The sequence below is a fragment of the Homo sapiens genome, chromosome 9, assembly GCF_000001405.40.
Source record: "Homo sapiens chromosome 9, GRCh38.p14 Primary Assembly".
Classification (NCBI taxonomy): Eukaryota; Metazoa; Chordata; class Mammalia; order Primates; family Hominidae; genus Homo; species Homo sapiens.
In genome coordinates this window covers 128,867,787-128,885,438 of record NC_000009.12, presented here as the reverse complement: position 1 = coordinate 128,885,438, position 17,652 = coordinate 128,867,787, and the positions used below count along the sequence as shown (strand labels likewise).

General features: G+C 51.1%; 3 protein-coding genes across 35 annotated transcripts in view, besides 2 other annotated features; 2 read left to right on the top strand and 1 right to left on the bottom strand.

Moving 5' to 3' along the window:
* Nucleotides 1-3,306, bottom strand: part of LRRC8A (leucine rich repeat containing 8 VRAC subunit A) — a 35,907-nt gene extending 32,601 nt beyond the window's left edge. For 5 of the 15 annotated variants that reach the window (XM_047423596.1, XM_047423597.1, XM_011518864.3 and 2 more), the window contains exon 1: nt 3,189-3,306. The gene's annotated coding sequence lies outside the window, so the exon portion shown is untranslated. Of the gene's footprint in view, nt 1-50; nt 2,806-3,188 lie in introns of those variants that run through there. The other 10 variants (XM_047423601.1, XM_047423599.1, NM_001127244.2 and 7 more) reach the window with 8 other exon arrangements.
* Nucleotides 2,916-17,652, top strand: part of KYAT1 (kynurenine aminotransferase 1) — a 49,582-nt gene continuing 34,845 nt past the window's right edge. For 10 of the 17 annotated variants that reach the window (NR_148224.2, NR_109829.3, NM_001122672.2 and 7 more), the window contains exon 1: nt 3,489-3,542. The gene's annotated coding sequence lies outside the window, so the exon portion shown is untranslated. Of the gene's footprint in view, nt 3,033-3,488; nt 3,543-17,652 lie in introns of those variants that run through there. The other 7 variants (NM_001122671.2, NM_001352991.2, NM_001352997.2 and 4 more) reach the window with 2 other exon arrangements.
* Nucleotides 2,960-3,239: a silencer, noted in NCBI's record as "silent region_20355". NCBI's record gives its function as "represses an Ori minimal core promoter by ATAC-STARR-seq in GM12878 lymphoblastoid cells {active_cell/tissue: GM12878}" and the evidence as "EXISTENCE:reporter gene assay evidence [ECO:0000049][PMID:35858748]".
* Nucleotides 3,270-3,419: an enhancer, noted in NCBI's record as "active region_29094". NCBI's record gives its function as "activates an Ori minimal core promoter by ATAC-STARR-seq in GM12878 lymphoblastoid cells {active_cell/tissue: GM12878}" and the evidence as "EXISTENCE:reporter gene assay evidence [ECO:0000049][PMID:35858748]".
* KYAT1-SPOUT1 (KYAT1-SPOUT1 readthrough) overlaps nt 3,489-17,652 on the top strand; it is a 62,300-nt gene continuing 48,136 nt past the window's right edge. For 2 of the 3 annotated variants that reach the window (NR_182311.1, NR_182310.1), the window contains exon 1: nt 3,489-3,542. The gene's annotated coding sequence lies outside the window, so the exon portion shown is untranslated. The remainder of the gene's footprint in view (nt 3,543-17,652) is intronic. The other variant, NM_001414398.1, reaches the window with a different exon arrangement.

The following is a 17,652-nucleotide window of genomic DNA, read 5'->3' as shown; positions in this document are numbered from 1 at the left end:
TAGGAGCTGGAAAAAGAGCATTCCAGGCAGGAGGAACAGCACATGTTTACCTGGAGGAGAGAGTACATGGCATCTGGAGAAGGCTTGCGGGCTCGGCATGGCGAGATCCAGAGCCAGAGAGGGGAAGTGGCAAGAGATGAGCCACAGTGGGGTGGCTGGGTCAGGCAGAGACCAGCCAGTGCCCAGACTCCAACTTAAACACCAAATCCACCCATCATCTCCGACAGTCAACCAGCCTCTGGTGAGCATCTACTCCATATGCGCCAGACACTGTGCAGAACTGTGCATGGGAGTGGCAGGGTAGGGAAAGCTGTGATCACTACGACACGGGTTTCGGGGAGCCAGGAGCTGGGAGAGTGGCCCAGCCACCAGAGAGAGCCAAAGGATCAGCAGGAGTTACCCAGGAAGGAGGAGGGCGGGGGTAGACAAAGACACCTGGACTGATCTAGGAGGGATGGCTGTTTTTCCATCATTTCTACCACTGGGTATTTACTATATTGACTAAGTTCCAGGCCCTGTGCTGGGAGGGCAGACATGGAAGATGGTCTCCGCCGTCATGGGAGGTAGGTCAATAACCCTGCAATTCCATACGGGGTGGTGGTGACTAGGCAGTAAAGTACCTACAGCTATATAGGCACGGAGGCCATCCAAGCCAACCTCTACCTCACTCTACCCTCCTTGTCAAGGATGGGGCACCCACTGAGGCTGGGTGGTCCAATCACCTGCCCATGGCAGAGCCAGGTCCAGAACTTGGGCCCCTGGACTCCCTGTCACTAATTATTCTAGTCCCTCCTCTTCCAGAAAGCATACCCTGACCACCCCCTACATAACCACCCAGAGCTAATTCCTTCTTCCTCTGGGCTGCCTCTGTAATATTTCTATTAATATGGTGGCCACAGTATATCAGAACTTATGTGTCTTCTGGTTTGCCTGTCCTCCCAGACTGCAGCTCTCAGGAGGCCAGGGATGTTTTCCCAGCCATCCCAGGCCCAAGACAGGCACTTTCTAAAGAATGGCTGAATGAATGAATGAATGAATGAATGAGTCAAGGCATGGAGAGACACTGTGCTGGGCTCTAAGAGCCCCACATCCATCCCACCTGAATCTCCAAGAGGTCTTGGCCCATCAGTGTGTGCCTCAGTTTCTCCATGTGAAAACCTGGAATCAGCTCTACTCTAAGACGAGGCAGTCAGGAACCAGGCTGATTTCCCTCCAACTCCTACAGGCAAGGTCCAGGCCAAGCCAGGCAGCAACCCAGGGTCCGGCCACTTCCCTGAGTTCTGACCCACGGCAGTGATCCCCAGGATTCCCTACAGTCCAGAAAGGTCATTCAAGAGTTTGCAAAGGAAACGGCTTCCTGGTGGGTGTGCCTAAGGGATGGAGAACCACCACATCTAGTCAAGTTCTGGGGGGAAGTCATGAACATTTCCTGTGCCCCCGCTCTGTTTTTTTTTTTGTTTTTTTGAGATGGAATTTTGCTCTTCTTGCCCAAGCTGGAGTGCAATGGCGCGATCTTGGCTCACTGCAACCTCTGCCTGCTGGGTTCAAGCAATTCTCCTGCCTCAGCCTCCCGAATAGCTGGGATTACGGGTGCGCAGCCCCATGCCTGGCTAATTTTTTGTATTTTTAGTAGAGACAAGGTTTCACTATGTTGGCCAGGCTGGTCTCGAACTCCTGACCTCGTGATCTGCCCGCTTCAGCCTCCCAACGTGCTGGGATTACAGGCGTGAGCCACCACGCCCGGCCCTGCACCCCCTGCTCTGTACCCTATGGTCCCTAGAACGCAGAGGGCATCAGACCCCATGCCAAAGCCCTGAGACCAGGAAAACAAGGAAGCAGAGACCAGCCACCCAGTCACTCATCCCTGGCATGTCCACAACAGCCTCCTCCAGCACAGGTCATCTGTCCTTGCCTCACTTCATGAGCCAGAGGAAGACTTGACCTTCATGGAAGCAACACCAGTGAGACTGAGCAATCAGCACTGCCCAGTCTCTCTGAACAAACTCCCACTCCCACATCCCCTCCACAGGAAGTATCAGCAACAGCCGATCTCCTCCCGCTTCTTACAGCCTGTCTGTCTGCCAGGTTGTCTGCTCCAAAGGGCAGAATACAGTTTGGCAGGGGTTAAGAGTACTACTAACAGAAGAGGTGGAAGAGGTCCTTGGGAACTTCGGGCTCCCCCAGTTCCCTTCCTCTTACCAGGTGCTCTCCCTCCACACCTCATTCTCAAAAGGCTTCCTGAGGTAGGGCAGGGGAAGAGGAGTCAGTGGAAGTGTGGCTCACCCAGGAACCGCCCACCCTTCCAGCCAAGTCTCCATCAGGAGGCGGCTACCAGACAACCCCCGACCCATCCCTCCTTCCCAAAAAAGGCAACAATCGCAACAGCTGAGAACCGGCAGACCTCGGTTCACCCCGGTCCAGATCAAGGGGAAGAAGCAGTCAGCGAAAGCAGCAGAATCATCATGAACTCCATGACCCCAGCTATGCCCCTTCAGCCTGGGAGCTCAGTTTGCTGGGTATCCAGCTCACCTAGGGCTGCACCAGGCCTGGACCTCACTGGATCTCGCCTCGCCCTCGGGCCCACCTGAATGCACAGGACTGGGACAGGGTCTGGGTTCTTAGATTCCGGACCGGTCTTCCCAAATATCCCATCCCAGAAAGGCCCCAAGAGCCTAGCCGGGGATCCTGCCCCCAAGTCAGGGCACTGCCCCCATCGGAACGATAGGAAGGAGGGGTGCAAGGGAAGAGAAGGGGACCAGGAACTCAGGAGAAGACAGCTAAGGAAATCTTTGAAAAAGAAATGGCAAGGAGAGAGCCCAGAGGTGGAACCTCTAGGAACGGGAGAGTGTGTGTGGAGGGGTGAGGATCTGGGGGGACCCAGGGGATGACAAGGGGACATGGGGGAGCCGAGGCGGAAACTCCTGGTTTCTGAAGCACAAGGAGGCACAGGGGTGCCTGGGAGGGGGCTCGCGCGCCGCGGAGCCGGCGAGAAGGTGGTGCCCCGGAGACTCCGGGCACTGGGGAGCCCAGAGGTAGGCCGAACACCGCGGGAGGTCCCCAGGGGGCCGGCCCGGAGACAGAGCCCCAGATGCCCCGGGCGCCCCGGGCCGGGCAGCTGGCCGAGGGCGTGTGTAAGTGGGTTTCGAGAGGTGACAGCTCGCGCCCCTTTCCCCACCCCGTCCACTCACCTGGGCTCGCCGCGCCCGGCCGCCCGGCAGGCAGCCCCAGGCCCCGGCCGCTCCGTCCCGCCGCCGGCCGCAGCGCTGCTCCGGCGCCTCCTTTTGTTTGTCCCTCACTGCACCACTCAGCCTCCTCCGCCCCGGAAGTGACGTCACCGCCGGGCGCGAACGCGGCGGCCAGGGCGTCGCCATCTTTATGAGGAGAATTCTAGCGGCGCTTTCTCCCGCTCTCGCCTCCGCGCTAGCGCCCTGCTGCTTCGGGGCGGAAGTAGCGGAGCCGGGCTCGGCCCCCTTAAAGGGACAGGGACTGCTGCAACCTACGGGGTGTACTTGGGAACGAGGGGTGAAGCGGCCCAGGTGAGGGTGAGTAGCTGTGTCGGAGCGCCACTTCCCCAAGGTCAGGTGCCGAGGCTGGGAGGGTCGGCTAACGGTTCCGAGCTTGGTTGTGCTAGAGTGCTTAATGAGTTTGATGCTACTAAGTATAACGGAGTGGCTGCACAGAATGATTGAGCCGCCCGCGGGAATCAACTGCGCGTGCTGCTCGCTGATTCTCGCTCGGACACTGGGGCTGGTCCTGTCTGCACCCAAATCCCCCTCCCACGACCGCGCCGGTGGAGATGATACCCGAGACAACAGAATTCTGGACAGATCTGGGGTTGGAATTGGGTCCCCAGACTCCAACTCTGCAGCTCCATAAATCCCGCTGGGTCCTCGCAAATTCCCTGGCTGATAACAGTACCGGCAACCAAATTAAAAAATAATCCATACAGTGGAATACTGTGCAGCCATTAAGACGAACAATGTTTAATATGCACTAATGTAGGGTGACTTCTAAGATACCTTAGGTTAAAAAAGGAAACAACAGTAAAAACAGCGTTGGGCCGGTTGCGGTGGCTCACGTCTGTAATCCCAGCACTTTGGGAGGCCGAGGCGGGCGGATCACGAGGTCAGGAGATCGAGACCATCCTGGCTAACTTGGTGAAACCTCATCTCTACTAAAAATACAAAAAAATCAGCCGGGCGTGGTGGTGGGCGCCTGTAGTCCCAGCTACTCTGGAGGCTGAGGCAGGAGAATGGCATGAACTCGGGAGGTGGAGCTTGCAGTGAGCCGAGATCGCGCCGCTGCACTCCAGCCTGGGCGACAGAGCGAGACTCCGTCTAAAAAAAGAAAAAACAGCGTTGATGGGTGCTATCCATCTTTGCGTAGAAGGACGCCTGAGGGTGGGCGTATCTGCGGGTGTGCGCGCCAGCTGTCTGATAAGATGCACAAGAAGTTGTTAATTGCGGTTGTCTCCGACAGAATTGGGGTCTTGGGTACCTGGGCCAGGGCGAGAAATTTACTACCATGTGCACAGATAGATAATTAAAAATAAGATGATGAAGATAGTCGTGGCTCCCATCCATCACGTGTTAAGCCAATGCCTAGTTTCACTTCTGTTGGGAGGTCTTATTTTTCCCTTTTAATAGAAGAGAAAAGAACCTTAGAGAGGTTAGGAAACTTAGCAATATCATAGCCAGGGCCGGGCGCGGTGGTTCACACCTGTAATCCCAGCACTTTGGGAGGCTGAGGCGGGCGGATCACGAGGTCAGTAGATCGAGACCATCCTGGCTAACACGGTGAAACCCCGTCTCTACTAAAAATACAAAAAAATTAGCCGGGTGTGGTGGCGAGCGCCTGTGGTCCCAGCTACTCGGGAGGCTGAGGCAGGAGAATGGCATGAACCTGGGAGGCAGAGCTTGCAGTGAGCTGAGATTGGGCCACTGCACTTCAGCCTGGGCAACAGAGCAAGACTCCGTCTAAAAAAAAAAAAAAATCATAGCCAGGAAGTGGAGAAGCTGGAATTTGAACCCTGGGAGATTTACACTAATGCCCATGATCTAGCTTATCCCTCGCCACTGAGATGCTTTTTCTGTTGTCAGTCACGCAACACCCGTCTTGGGGCCTGGCACACAACAGGCATCCAGTAACTATTTATTGACATGATGTGTGGTGTGAAAAGCAAACGTTGAAGGTCAGAGCCCAGGCTTAAAGTCCAGGGCTTGGGCACCTCTTTCCAACCTGTGGACTGTGGGCCTGCCAGGTACTCCGTGGGCCTCCATGTCCCCGCCTGTAAAATGAACAACCAGAACCACAGTTGTAGACAGTGAATGTTCCCACGTATTATACTTTGTATTTTACACGCAGATAAGTCTCATTTTACAGATAAGTGAGGCACAGAGAGATTAAGAAAGTTGCCAGAAGGGGGTTCCTACAGGTCTCCCTCCCTCCCTAGGAAGGCTGCTGGGCTCCCAGGCCTCTCCCTTAGCTTCCCAGGATCATCTGTGCTAATGCCTGGGGGACCTACTCTGTGCTGGGTGAGCTGCCAGAGGCTGAGGATCTGGTGGAGAACAGGTCAAGCACATAGTTCCTGTCCTTGGAGTTGAGCGCCCCCGTGCTGAGTACTTTGAGGGCGGAAGCCCAGGTCTTGGGACCACCTGGGAGGGGACATGTGGCTTAGCCTGGGTGGAGTCAGAAGGGGCTTCTCCAAGGAAGGGACTTTCAATGTGACTGGAAACTAGGATGTCCAGAAGGAGAAATGATGAGGCTGGAGACTCAAGGAGAGATGGGCTCCTACCCTGGACTTGGCCTTGGTGTCCACTAAGAAACTGAGGGTGACCAACAGGATTGGAGAATATACAAGTTAGACCCATTCAGTCTGGCTTCAGCAGGAATCTTTCCTCCCGGAGAATGCCTCCATTAGGTGCCAACCACCAGAACGCCACACTAACCTCTCCAAGCTCCAAAGAGTAGGGCGCCTGATTTTATAATCCAGGTGGGGGCGATAAAGGAATGCAGGAGCCTTCACAGCCATGAGGCAGTCACTGTAACTCCTGCCAGAACAGACCTGGGGCCACATCCCACTCCTGGATGGCACTGCCAGTTCCCTGCATAATTCCTTTTTTTTTTTTTGAGACGGAGTCTCACTCTGTCGCCCAGGCTGGAGTGCAGTGGTGCAATCTCGGCTCACTGCAAGCTCCACCTCCCGGGTTCACTCCATTCTCCTGCCTCAGCCTCCCAAGTAGCTGGGACTACAGGCACCCGCCACCACGCCTGGCTAATTTTTTGTATTTTTAGTAGAGACGGGGTTTCACCGTGTTAGCCAGGATGGTCTCTATCTCCTGACCTTGTGATCCGCCCACCTCGGCCTCCCAAAGTGCTGGGATTACAGGCGTGAGCCACCGCGCCCGGCCTCCCGGCATAATTTTTAAAATGCTCATCCTATGCCCTCATTCCCCAGCTTGCAGCTGGGGGCCTCCTGGTGCTTTTCTGGGACTTCGAGTAAGTCATTTCCCCTCTCTAAGCCTCAGTTTCCCCACCTGTAAAGCTGATGCCACCTCCTCCAAGGCTCCCGCGAGGCTATCTGCCTATCTGTTGTGTGTTCCTTTAATGTATGGGAGTGAGATTGTGGTTTTTGAATCTGGGTCCTGTGCCAGGAGGAATAAGTGGTGAGATACCTACTGTTTGTGTCACTCAGGTCTTCCACCAACCCCTCCAGCCTGTAAACCTGCCGTCTGGACTCCAGAAGTCATTTCTCTCTCCTCTGCCAATTCCTAAGCCCAGGGGGACTGTGTCTGAGTGACGCAATTGTTAGATCTCCTCAGACAGGCTGTTCTCTCCAGGAAAACATTGGCTCAACAAATTGTCACCAAACATTTGTCTTCAGGGAATTCTGTTTTTTTTCTATCAAAAAAAATTTGGATTCATTATATAATAAGAGATTTTTCATTTTGCTTGGTTACTAATTTTATGGAAAGCCTGGTAGGTTTAAATGTTAATAGCTTGTTGACTGGGTGTGGTGGTTCATGCCTATAATCCCAGTAATTTGGAAGGCTGAGGTGGGACTATCGCTTGAGCTCAGGAGTTCGAGACCAACCTGGGCAACGTGGTAAAACCCCATCTCTATCAAAAATACAAAAATTAGCTGGGTGTGGTGGCACGTGCCTGTGGTCCCAGCTACTCTGGAGGCTGAGGTACAAGAATCGCTTGAAACTGGGAGGCAGAGGTTGCAGTGAGCCGAGATTGTGCCACTGCACTCCAGCCTGGGCGATAGAGCAAGACTGTCTCAAAAAAAAAAAAAAGTTAATAGCTTGTTGTCATTGACAAGTGGCTGTGAGCCAGGACCCACAGTATATTCTCTGTGGATTCTTGTCACCTTCATTGTACAGATGAGGAAGCTGAGCCCCCAAGAGGCTGCGGCCTGGCATGACCAAGGTCCCATAGCTAGTTTATGGTGGAGCTGGGACTATTTGATCCAAGTCCAAGGTTTGGTCTTCTGTGGTTATTCATGCACTAGACTGGTCTTCCTGGGCATGGTATCCCCAGTTCTGTACCCTTTCTCTAGAGGTGCCACGATGTGTGTTGTCTCAGTAACTGGGAGTCTCCTGGCATTTTAAGCCCAGGGATGCTAAACATCCTTCAAGGCTCCAGATAGCTCTCCCCAGTGAAGAACTGACTCATCTCAAATTCTAAGTGTGCCCCTATTGAGAAGCTCCAAAACCGAATGTCATAATTGACTTGAGTGATGTGACGTGGGGCCACCCTGGGAAGGCATGGTCACCTCGCCTGCCCTTGTAAGCAGCCATGCAAGGTGAAGTTGGACAAGACATGGCTCCTGTCCCCAAGGGGCTGGTGGTCTCCTGTCAGCCCTAGCACCCGCCTGAGAGGAGATTTCACGGGACAGAATTTGGACTTTGGAAATAGGCAAACCAGGGTTTGAATCACAGCTGGAGCTCTCTAGGCTGAGTGAGTTTTCCTTGTTCTCCTTTTGAGCAAAATAGAGTAAATAATACCATCCTAATCAGCTGTGATGAGGATTAGAGAATTTAGCATGGGGTTGGGGGAGAGGGTCAGGCACAGGTAGGTGCTTTCTGAGTTCAGCAAAGGGCCTGGGTGGACACAGAAGCTTCAGAGAGGAGGTACAGGTGGGGCTAGGCCCTGCTAGGGATTTTGGATTGGAGGGTATGCCAGGCAGGGGAAACAGCTTGAGTGAAGATGGGCAACATTTATTCAAAAGCAAAGGGTGGCTGGGCACAGTGGTTCACACCTGTAATTCCAGCAATTTGGGAGGTCAAGGCAGGCAGATCACCAGAGGCCAGAAGTTCAAGACCAGCCTGGCCAACATGGTGAAACCCCATCTCTACAAAAATACAAAAATTAGCCGAGCATGATGGTGGGTGCCTGTAATCCCAGCTACTCGGGAGGCTGAGGTGGGAGAATCACTTGAACCCGGGAGGCAGAGGTTGCAGTGAGCCGAGATCGTGCCATTACACTCCAGCCTGGGTGAAAGAGTGAGACTCCATCTCAAAAAAATAAAAATAAAAATAAATTAGCTGGGCGTGGTGGCGTGCACCTGTAATCCCGGCTACTTGGGAGGCTGAGGCAGGAGAATCACTTGAACCCGGCAGGTGGGGGTTGCAGTGAGCCAAGATTGTGCCACTGCACTCCAGCCTGGGTGACAGAGTGAAGAGAGAGGCTCTATCTCAAGAAAAAAAAAAAAAAAAGGCCGGGTGCCGTGGCTCATGCCTGTAATCTCAGCACTTTGGGAGGCCGAGGCAGGCGGATCACGAGGTCAGGAGATTGAGACCATCCTGGCTAACATGGTGAAACCCTGTCTCTACTAAAAATACAAAAAAAATTAGCAGGGCGTGGTGGCGGGCGCCTGTAGTCCCAGCTACTCGGGAGGCTGAGGCAGGAGAGTGGCGTGAACCCGGGAGGTGGAGCTTCCAGTTAGCTGAGATCACGCCACTGCACTCCAGCCTGGGCGACAGAGCCAGACTCTGTCTCAAAAACAGAAAAAAAAAAAAAAAAAAGAACAAAGGATGACTGGGTGTGGTGTCTCATGCCTATAATCCAAGCTGTAATCCCAGGACTTTAGGAGGCCAAGACCAGAGGATCACTTGAGCCCAGGAGTTCAAGACCAGCCTGGGTAACATAGGGAGACCCTGTCTCTATTTTTTTTTTTTTTTAAAAGCAAAGAATTTGAGCTGGGGGTTGGGGCATGCACTTATAGTCCCAGATACTCAGGCGGCTGAGGCAGGAGGATCACTTGAGCTCAGGAGTTCAAGGCTCCTAGGTGACAAAGCGAGACCCTATCTCTAAAATAAAAAAAGAGTAAAGGGAGGGAAGGTGGAGGCTGCCAAGCCTGGATTCCAGCCGGCTCCAAACGCCAGGCTGAGGAGGCTTTGGACTTTGTCCAGTGTCACCACAGGCTTCTGGGCAGAGCTGGTCCAATGGGGGTTGGGGGACAGTGGCATAGCTGACATCAGCCCCTGGGTTATTGACATCAGCCCCTGGAATGCATCAGTGATGCATTCCACGGGCCCAGGGGTCATCCACTGCCTTCGGGTCAAGCAAATGGCCAGTAGCTGCCCAGGCTGATAGAGGTGTGTGTTGGAGGGGGGCACAGGCCACTGGCCCTCGGCCCCTGGCCTGGCAGCAGGGAGGCCTCAGATCTTAGATGCCTGAGAGCTACCCCAGAAGGGTCCTCGGCACAGCTATGGTCCCCATGCCTAGTGGTGCTGGGCCTCCTCGGTGCTGCCAGATCACCTGAGCTGCCTCCATTGCAGCAGTTATCCCACACATTTTTTTTTTTTTTTGAAGCGGAGTCTTGCTCTGTCACCTGGACAGCTGTCAGGCTGGAGTGCAGTGGCTCAATCTTGGCTCACTTCAACCTCTGCCTCTCAGGTTCAAGTGATTCTCCTGCCTCAGCCTCCCGAGTAGCTGGGACTACAGGTGCCCACCACCACACCCGGCTAATTTTTGTATTTTTGTAGAGACGCGGTTTCACCATGTTGGCCAGGCTGGTCTCGAACTCCTGACCTCAAGTGATCTGTCTGCCTCGGCCTCCCAAAGTGCTGGGATTACAGGCGTGAGCCACCACGCCAGTGAGCCAAGGTCACACAGCTGCACTCCGGCCTGGGCGACACAGCAGGACTCCATCTCAAAAACAAAAACCAAAAAAAAAAAAAAAACAAAAAAAAACAAATTGAACATAAATGGAATAATGGAAGAAATAGCTAGCTGTGGGGATGGCAACTCTGCAGCTGTTCACAGTTTGGGAAACCTGAGATCTGCATCCAGAGAAACTTCTTGAAGGCAAACTTATCAACATAAATGAGGAAAGTGGTTCTAAAGAAAAAGATAATGACCCAGAGGAAATAATACCAGCAAAACTTCACATTAAAGGAACTCCCTGGGCTGAGCGCAGTGGCTCACGCCTGTAATCCCAGCACTTTGGGAGGCCGAGGTGGGCAGATCACTTGAGGTCAGGAGTTCGAGACCAGCCTGGCCAACATGGTGAAACCCCATCCCTACTAAAAATACAAAAATAAGTCGGGCATGGTGGTGCGTGCCTGTAATCCCAGCTACTCAGGAGGCTGAGGCAGGAGAATCGTTTGAACCTGGGAGGCAGAGATTGGAGTGAGCCGAGATCACGCCACTGCACTCCAGCCTGAGTGACAGAGCGAGACTCCGTCTCAAAAAAAAAAAAAAAAAAAAGGCAGGATTATCTCACCACAAAATGTACAGAACAGGAACTCCCAGAGATATTTCACAACATTGAAAACAAAGGATGACTAAGGATGACTCGTATTCATCAAGACATAGAAGATGTCAGGTGCAGTGGCTTACACCTGTAATCCCAGCACTTTGGGAGGCTAAGGCAGGATGATTGCTTGATGCCAGGAGTTCAACATCAGCCTAAGCAACATAGTAAAACCCCCATCTTTACAAAAAAAAAAAAATAGCTGAGCATGGTGGTTCGTGCTTATTGTCTCAGCAACTCAGGAGAATGAGGTGGGAGGATTTCCTGAGCCCGGTAGGTTGAGGCTGCAGTGAGCCGAGATCACACCACTGCACTCCAGCCTTGGCAACAAACATAGAAGAAATGCTCATTCTGTATCCTAAATTAAACCACTGGAAGACTGCAGCACTGTTCAGTTCAGAATATTCTTTTTTTTTTTTTGGAATGAAGTTTCATTTTTGTTGCCCAGGCTGGAGCGCAGTGGCGTGATCTCGGCTCACTGCAACCTCTGCCTCCTGGGTTCAAGCGATTCTCCCGTCTCAGCCTCCTGAGTAGCTGGGATCACAGGCGCCCGCCACCACGCCTGGCTAATTTTTGTGTATTTAATAGAGACGGGGTTTCACCATGTTGACCAGGCTGGTCTTGAACTTCTGACCTCAGGTGATCCACCCGCCTCGGCTTCCCAAAGTGCTGGGGTTACAGGTGTGAACCACCACGCCCGGCCTCAGAATATTCTTTTTTTTTTTTTTTTTGAGACGGAGATTTGCTCTGTCACCCGGGCTGGAGTGCAGTGGTGCAATCTCTGCTCACTGCAACCTCTGCCTCCCAGGTTGAAGCGATTCTCCTGCCTCAGCCTTCCGTGTAGCTGGGATTACAGGTGTGCATCACCATGCCCGGCTAATTTTTTGTATTTGTATTTAATTTTTTTTTTCTTTTTGAGATGGAGTCTCGCTCTGTGGAGTGCAGTGCCGCTCACTGCAACCTCTATCTCTCGGGTTCAAGCGATTCTCCTGCCTCAGCCTCCCAAGTAGCTGGGATGGGATTACAGGCACCTGCCACTACACCCAGCTAATTTTTTTTGTAATTTTAGTAGAGACGGGATTTCACCATGTTGGCCAGCCTGGTCTCAAACTCCTGACCTCAAATGATCTGCCTGCCTACCGGCCTCCCAAAGTGCTGGGATTACAGGAGTGAGCCATCGCGCCTGGCCCAAGCTATTTGCAATAAAATTTTTTCCTTGATAAACTTTTATAACGAAAGAAAACGTCTTAATTTTCAGTGTTGCTAATATTAAATTACAGTGTACTAAGTTCTTATTAGTTTTTTTTTTTTTTCATTTTCTATACTTTTTTATTTTTAAATGACAGAGTCTCACTTTGTTGCCCAGGCTAGTCTCCAATTCCCGGGCTCCAGTCATCCTCTTGCCTTGGCCTCCCAAAGTCCTGGGACTACAGGCATGAGCCACCACACCTGGGCTACATTTTTAACAGATGGTAAGAGAGTTTTAAAAGGTCACAGAACAATTGTCTTATTAATTATTATTATCCAATAATAATTTTCTCGATTATTAAGTTCTCTTTGCACAATTTAAGTTTACATGGTCTTTTTTTTTTTTTTTTTTTTAAATGGAGTCTCACTCTGTCACCCAGGCTGGAGTGCAGTAGTGCGATCCTGGCTCACTAGAATCTTTGCCTCCCGGGTTCAAGCAATTCTCCTGCCTCAGCCTCCGAAGTAGCTGCGATTACAGGCACATGCCACCATGCCCGGCTAATTTTTTTTGTATTTTCAGTAGGGACGGGGTTTCATCATGTTGACCAGGCTGGTTTCAAACTCCTGACCTCAAGTGATCTGCCTGCCTCGGCCTCCCAAAGTTCTAGGATTACAGGCCTGAGCCACCACGTCTGGCCAACATGGTCTTTTTTTTTCTTTTGAGACGGAGTCTCGCTCTGTCACCCAGGCTAGAGTGCAAACGGTGCGATCTTGGCTCACTGCAACCTCCGCCTCCCGAGTTCAAGCTGGTCTCCTGTCTCAGCCTCCCGAGTAGCCGGGATTACAGGTGAGTGCCACCATTCCTAGCTACTTTTTGTATTTTATTAGAGACGGGCTTTCACCATGTTAGCCAGGCTGGTCTCGAACTCCTGACCTCAGGTGATCCGCCCACCTCGGCCTCCCAAAGTGCTGGGATTACAGGCATGAGCCACTGCGCCTGGCCTCAACATGGTCTTTTTCTGTTTTGCTTTGTTTTGTTTTTTTTGAGTCGGAGTCTCGCTCTGTCACCCAGGCTGGAGTGCAGTGGCACAATCTTGGCTCACTGCAGTCTCCACCTCCCAGGTTCATGCCATTCTCCTGCCTCAGCCTCCCGAGTAGCTGGGACTACAGGTGCACGCCACCACGCCTGGCTAATTTTTTGTATTTTTAGTAGAGACAGGGTTTCACCGTGTTAGCCAGGATGGTCTCAATCTCCTGACCTCGTGATCCACCCACCTCAGCCTCCCAAAGTGCTGGGATTACAGGTGTGAGCCACCATGCCCAGCCAATTCAACATGGTCTTTTTTTTTTTTTTTTTTTTGAGACAGAGTTTCGCTCTTGTTGCCCAGGCTGCCGTGCAGTGGCACGATCTCAGCTCACTGCAACCTCCGCCTCCCAGTTCAAGTGATTCTCCTGCCCCAGCCTCCGGAGTAGCTGGGACTACAGGCGTGTGCCACTATGCCCAGCTAATTTTTGTATTTTTTTTAGTAGAGACAGGCTTTCACCATGTTGGCCAGGATGGTCTTGATCTCTTGACCTCATGATCCACCCGCCTCAGCCTCCCAAAGTGCTGGGATTACAGGCATGAGCCACCACGCCCAGCCAACATGGTCATTTTTATAATGCCACACTACTGTGGAAAGTAAAGACTACCTGAATATGTATGTGTATGTGTATATGTATATATATGTATGCATCCTCACATATGTATCTCCACAATTGATTTTGTTTATTTTTTGAGACAGGATCTCACTCTGTCACCCAGGCTGGAATGCAGTGCTGTGATTATGGCTCACTGCTGCCTCGACTGCCTGGGCTCAAGCAATACTCCCAGCTGAGCCTCCTGAGTAGCTGGGACCACAGGCATGCACCACCACACCCAGCTAATTTTTAAAAAATTATTTGTAGAGACAAGGTCTTGTTATGTTGCCCAGGCTGGTCTGGAAATCCTGAGCTCCAGTCCTCCTGCCTCGGCCTCTCAAAGTGCTGATATTACAGGTGTGAGCCACCTTTCCAGGTGTGAGCCACCACATCCAGCTTTCTCTACAATTAAAAAAAATGCAAATAGAGTTATATTGTTCTTCAACCTGCCCTTTTTGTTTGTTTTTGTTTGTTTTGTTTTGTTTTGTTTTAAGACAAGGTCTCACTCTGTCTCCCAAGCTGGAGTACAGTGGCACAATCTTGGCTCACTGCAGCCTCAACCTTCTGGGCTCAAGCAATCCTCCCACTTCAGCTTCCCGAGTAGCTGGGACTACAGACACGTACCACCGTGGCCAGCTAATTTTTTGCATTTTTTGTAGAGATGGGATTTCACCATGTTGCCCAGGCTGATCTCGAACTCCTGAGCTCAAGCAATCTACCCGCCTTTGCCTCCTGAAGTGCTGAGATTACAGGTGTGAGTCACCGCGGCCAGCCTGTCTCTACAATTTAAAAAATGTAAATGGGTTATATTGTTCTTCAACCCTTTTAAAAAATTACCATACTTTTTTTTTTTTTTTTGTAATTGAGGTGAAATTCACCTAACATACAAGTAACTATTTTAAGGTATACAATTCAGTGGCATTTAGTGCATTCACAATGTTGTACAAACATTATGTCACTGTAGTTTCAAAACTTTATCGTTCCCTTAGGAAAACACTCCGTACCCATCAAATAGTCACTCCCCATTACCTCCTCCCTGTCCTCTGGTTACCACTCATCTGCTTTCTGTCTCTATAGACTTGTTATTCTGAATATTTCACAGAAAAGGAATCATAGCTATGTGACCTTTTTTGTCCGGCTTCTTTCACTTAGTGTGTTTTGTTTGTTTGTTTGTGACAGGGTCTTGCTCTGTTGTCCAGACTGGAGTGCAGTGTCATGACCTCAGCTCACTGCAATCTCCACTTCCCAGGCTCAAGCGATCCTCCCACCTCAGCCATCTTATTATCTGGGACTACAGGCACACACCACCATGCCTGGCTGATTTTTGTATTTTTTGTAGAAACAAGGTTTTGCCGTGTTTCCCAGGCTGGTGTCAAACAATGATCCTCCCACGTCAGCCTTCCAAAGTGCAGAGATTATAGTCATCAGCCATGTCGCCCTGGCCTCACTTAATATATTTTTGAGGTTCATCTAAGTTACAGCATGTGTCAGCACATATTTCATTCCATTTTGTGGCTGAATAATATTCCATGGTACAGATATGTTACAATTTATCCATTCATCCATTGATGGACAATTTGGGTTTTTTTCACCTGTTGGCTATGATGAATACTGTTGATATAAACATTTGTGTACATGTTTCTGTGTGGACATATGTTTTCAGTTCTTTTGGGTATATACCTAGGAGTGAAATTGCTAGGTTGTAAGGTACTTCTATATTTGGACTTCATAAAAATTAAAAAGTTTTGTGTACCAAAGAACATTATCTGCCGGGCCCGGGTAATTGCAGCACTTTGGGAGGCTGAGGCGGGGGGATCACCTGAGGTCAGGATTTCAAGACCAGCCTGGCCAACATGGCGAAACCCTGTCTCCACTAAAAATACAAAAATTAGCTGGGCGTAGTGGCGAACACCTGTAGTCCCAGCTACTCGGGAGGCTGAGGCAGGAGAATCGCTTGAACCCAGGAGGCAGAGGTTGCAGTGAGCTAAGATCACGCCTCTGCACTCTAGCCTGGGCAACAGAGTGAGACTCTGTCTCAAAAAAAAAAAAAAAGTACATTATCAAGAATGTGATCAGGCTGGGCACAATGGCTCACACCTGTAATCCAAGCACTTTGGAAGGCCGAAACGGGAGGATTGCTAGAGGCCAGGAGTTAAAGCCCAGCCTGGGCAACGTGGTGAGACCCCATCTCTGCAATAAAAATTTTCGAAGTTGTTGGTTTATTTTGAGTTAATTTTTGTAGATGGAACGAGGTGAAACTCCTGCTTCATTCTTTTATATGTAAATATCCAGTTGTCCCAGCACCCTTTGTTGAAGAGACTATTCTTTCCTCTATTAAATGGGCTTGGTGCCGGGTACGGTGGCTCACGCCAGTAATCCCAGCACTTTGGGAGGCCGAGGCGGGCAGATCATGAGGTCAGGAGATCAAGACCACCCTGGCTAACACGGTGAAACCCCGTCTCTACTAAAAATACAAAAAATTAGCCGGGCGTGGTGGCTCGCGCCTGTAGTCCCAGCTATGCAGGAGGCTGAGGCAGGAGAATGGTGTGAACCCGGGAGGCAGAGCTTGCAGTGAGCCGAGATTGTGCCATTGCACTCCAGCCTAGGCAACAGAGCGAGACTCCATCTCAAAAAAAAACAGGCTTGGTGCCCTTGTCAAAAATCAATAAGGCCAGGCGCAGTGGCTCCCACCTGTAATCCCAGCACTTTGGGAGGCCAAGGCCTTTGTATTGCGTGAGTCCAGAAATTTGAGACCAGCCTGGGCAACATAGTGAGACCCCCGTCTCTACAAAAAATTAAAAAATTGGCCAGGCACAGTGGCTCACACCTGTAATCCTAACACTTTGGGAGGCCAAGGTGGGCAGATCATGAGGTCAGGAGATCGAGACCATCCTGGCCAACATGGTGAAACCCCGTCTCTACTAAAAATACAAAACTTAGCTGGGCATGGTGGTGTGCGCCTATAGTCCCAGCTACTCAGGAGGCTGAGGCAGGAGAATCGCTTGAATCCCAGAGGCAGAGGTTGTAGTGAGCCAAGATCGTGCCACAGCACTCTAGCCTGGCAACAGAGCAAGACTCCATCTCAAAAAAAAAAAAAAAAAAAAATTAGCCAGGCATGGTGGCATGTGCCTGTAGTCCCAGCTACTCAGGAAATTGAGGCAGGAAGATTGCTTGACTCTATGAGAACAAGGCTGTAGTGAGCCGTGATCGCACCACTGCACTCCATCCTGGGTGACAGAGCGAGACCCTGTCTCAAAAAAAAGGAAAAAAAGAAAAAAATGTCCAGCTACTTGGGAGACTGAGGTGAGAGAATCACCTGAGCTCAGGATGTCGAGGCTACAGTGAACCGTGATTGCACACACCACTGTTCTCCAGCCTGGGCTACAGAATGAGACCCTGTCTCACCAAAGAAAAAAAGGAAAAAAAAATCAGTGGGCCAGGCTGGGCATGATGGCTCACGCCTGTAATCACAGCACTTTGGGAGGCCGAGGTGGGTGGATCACCTATAGTTCCAGCTACTCAGGAGGCTGAGGCACAAGAATCGGCAGAGGCTGCAGTGAATCAAGATCGTGCCATTGCACTGCAGCCTGGGCAACAGAGTGAGACTCTGACTCAAAAAAAAAAAAATTAGTGGGCCATAGATGTTTGGGTTTATTACTGGGCTCTCAATTTTATTCCATGGGTCTATGTCTGTCTTTATGGTAATACCACACTATTCTAATTATAAGCTTTGCAGGGCCAAGCGCAGTGGCTCACGCCTGTAATCCCAGTACTTTGGGAGGCCAAGGCGGGTGGCTCACGAGGTCAGGAGATCGAGACCATCCTGGCTAACATGGTGAAACCCCGTCTCTACTAAAAATACAAAAAAATTAGCTGGGCGTGGTGGTGGGCACCTGTAGTCCCAGCTACTCAGGAGGCTGAGGCAGGAGAATGGCGTGAACCCGGGAGGCAGAGCTTGCAGTGAGCCAAGATCGCGCCACTGCACTCCAGCCTGGGCGACAGAGCGAGACTCCGTCTCAAAC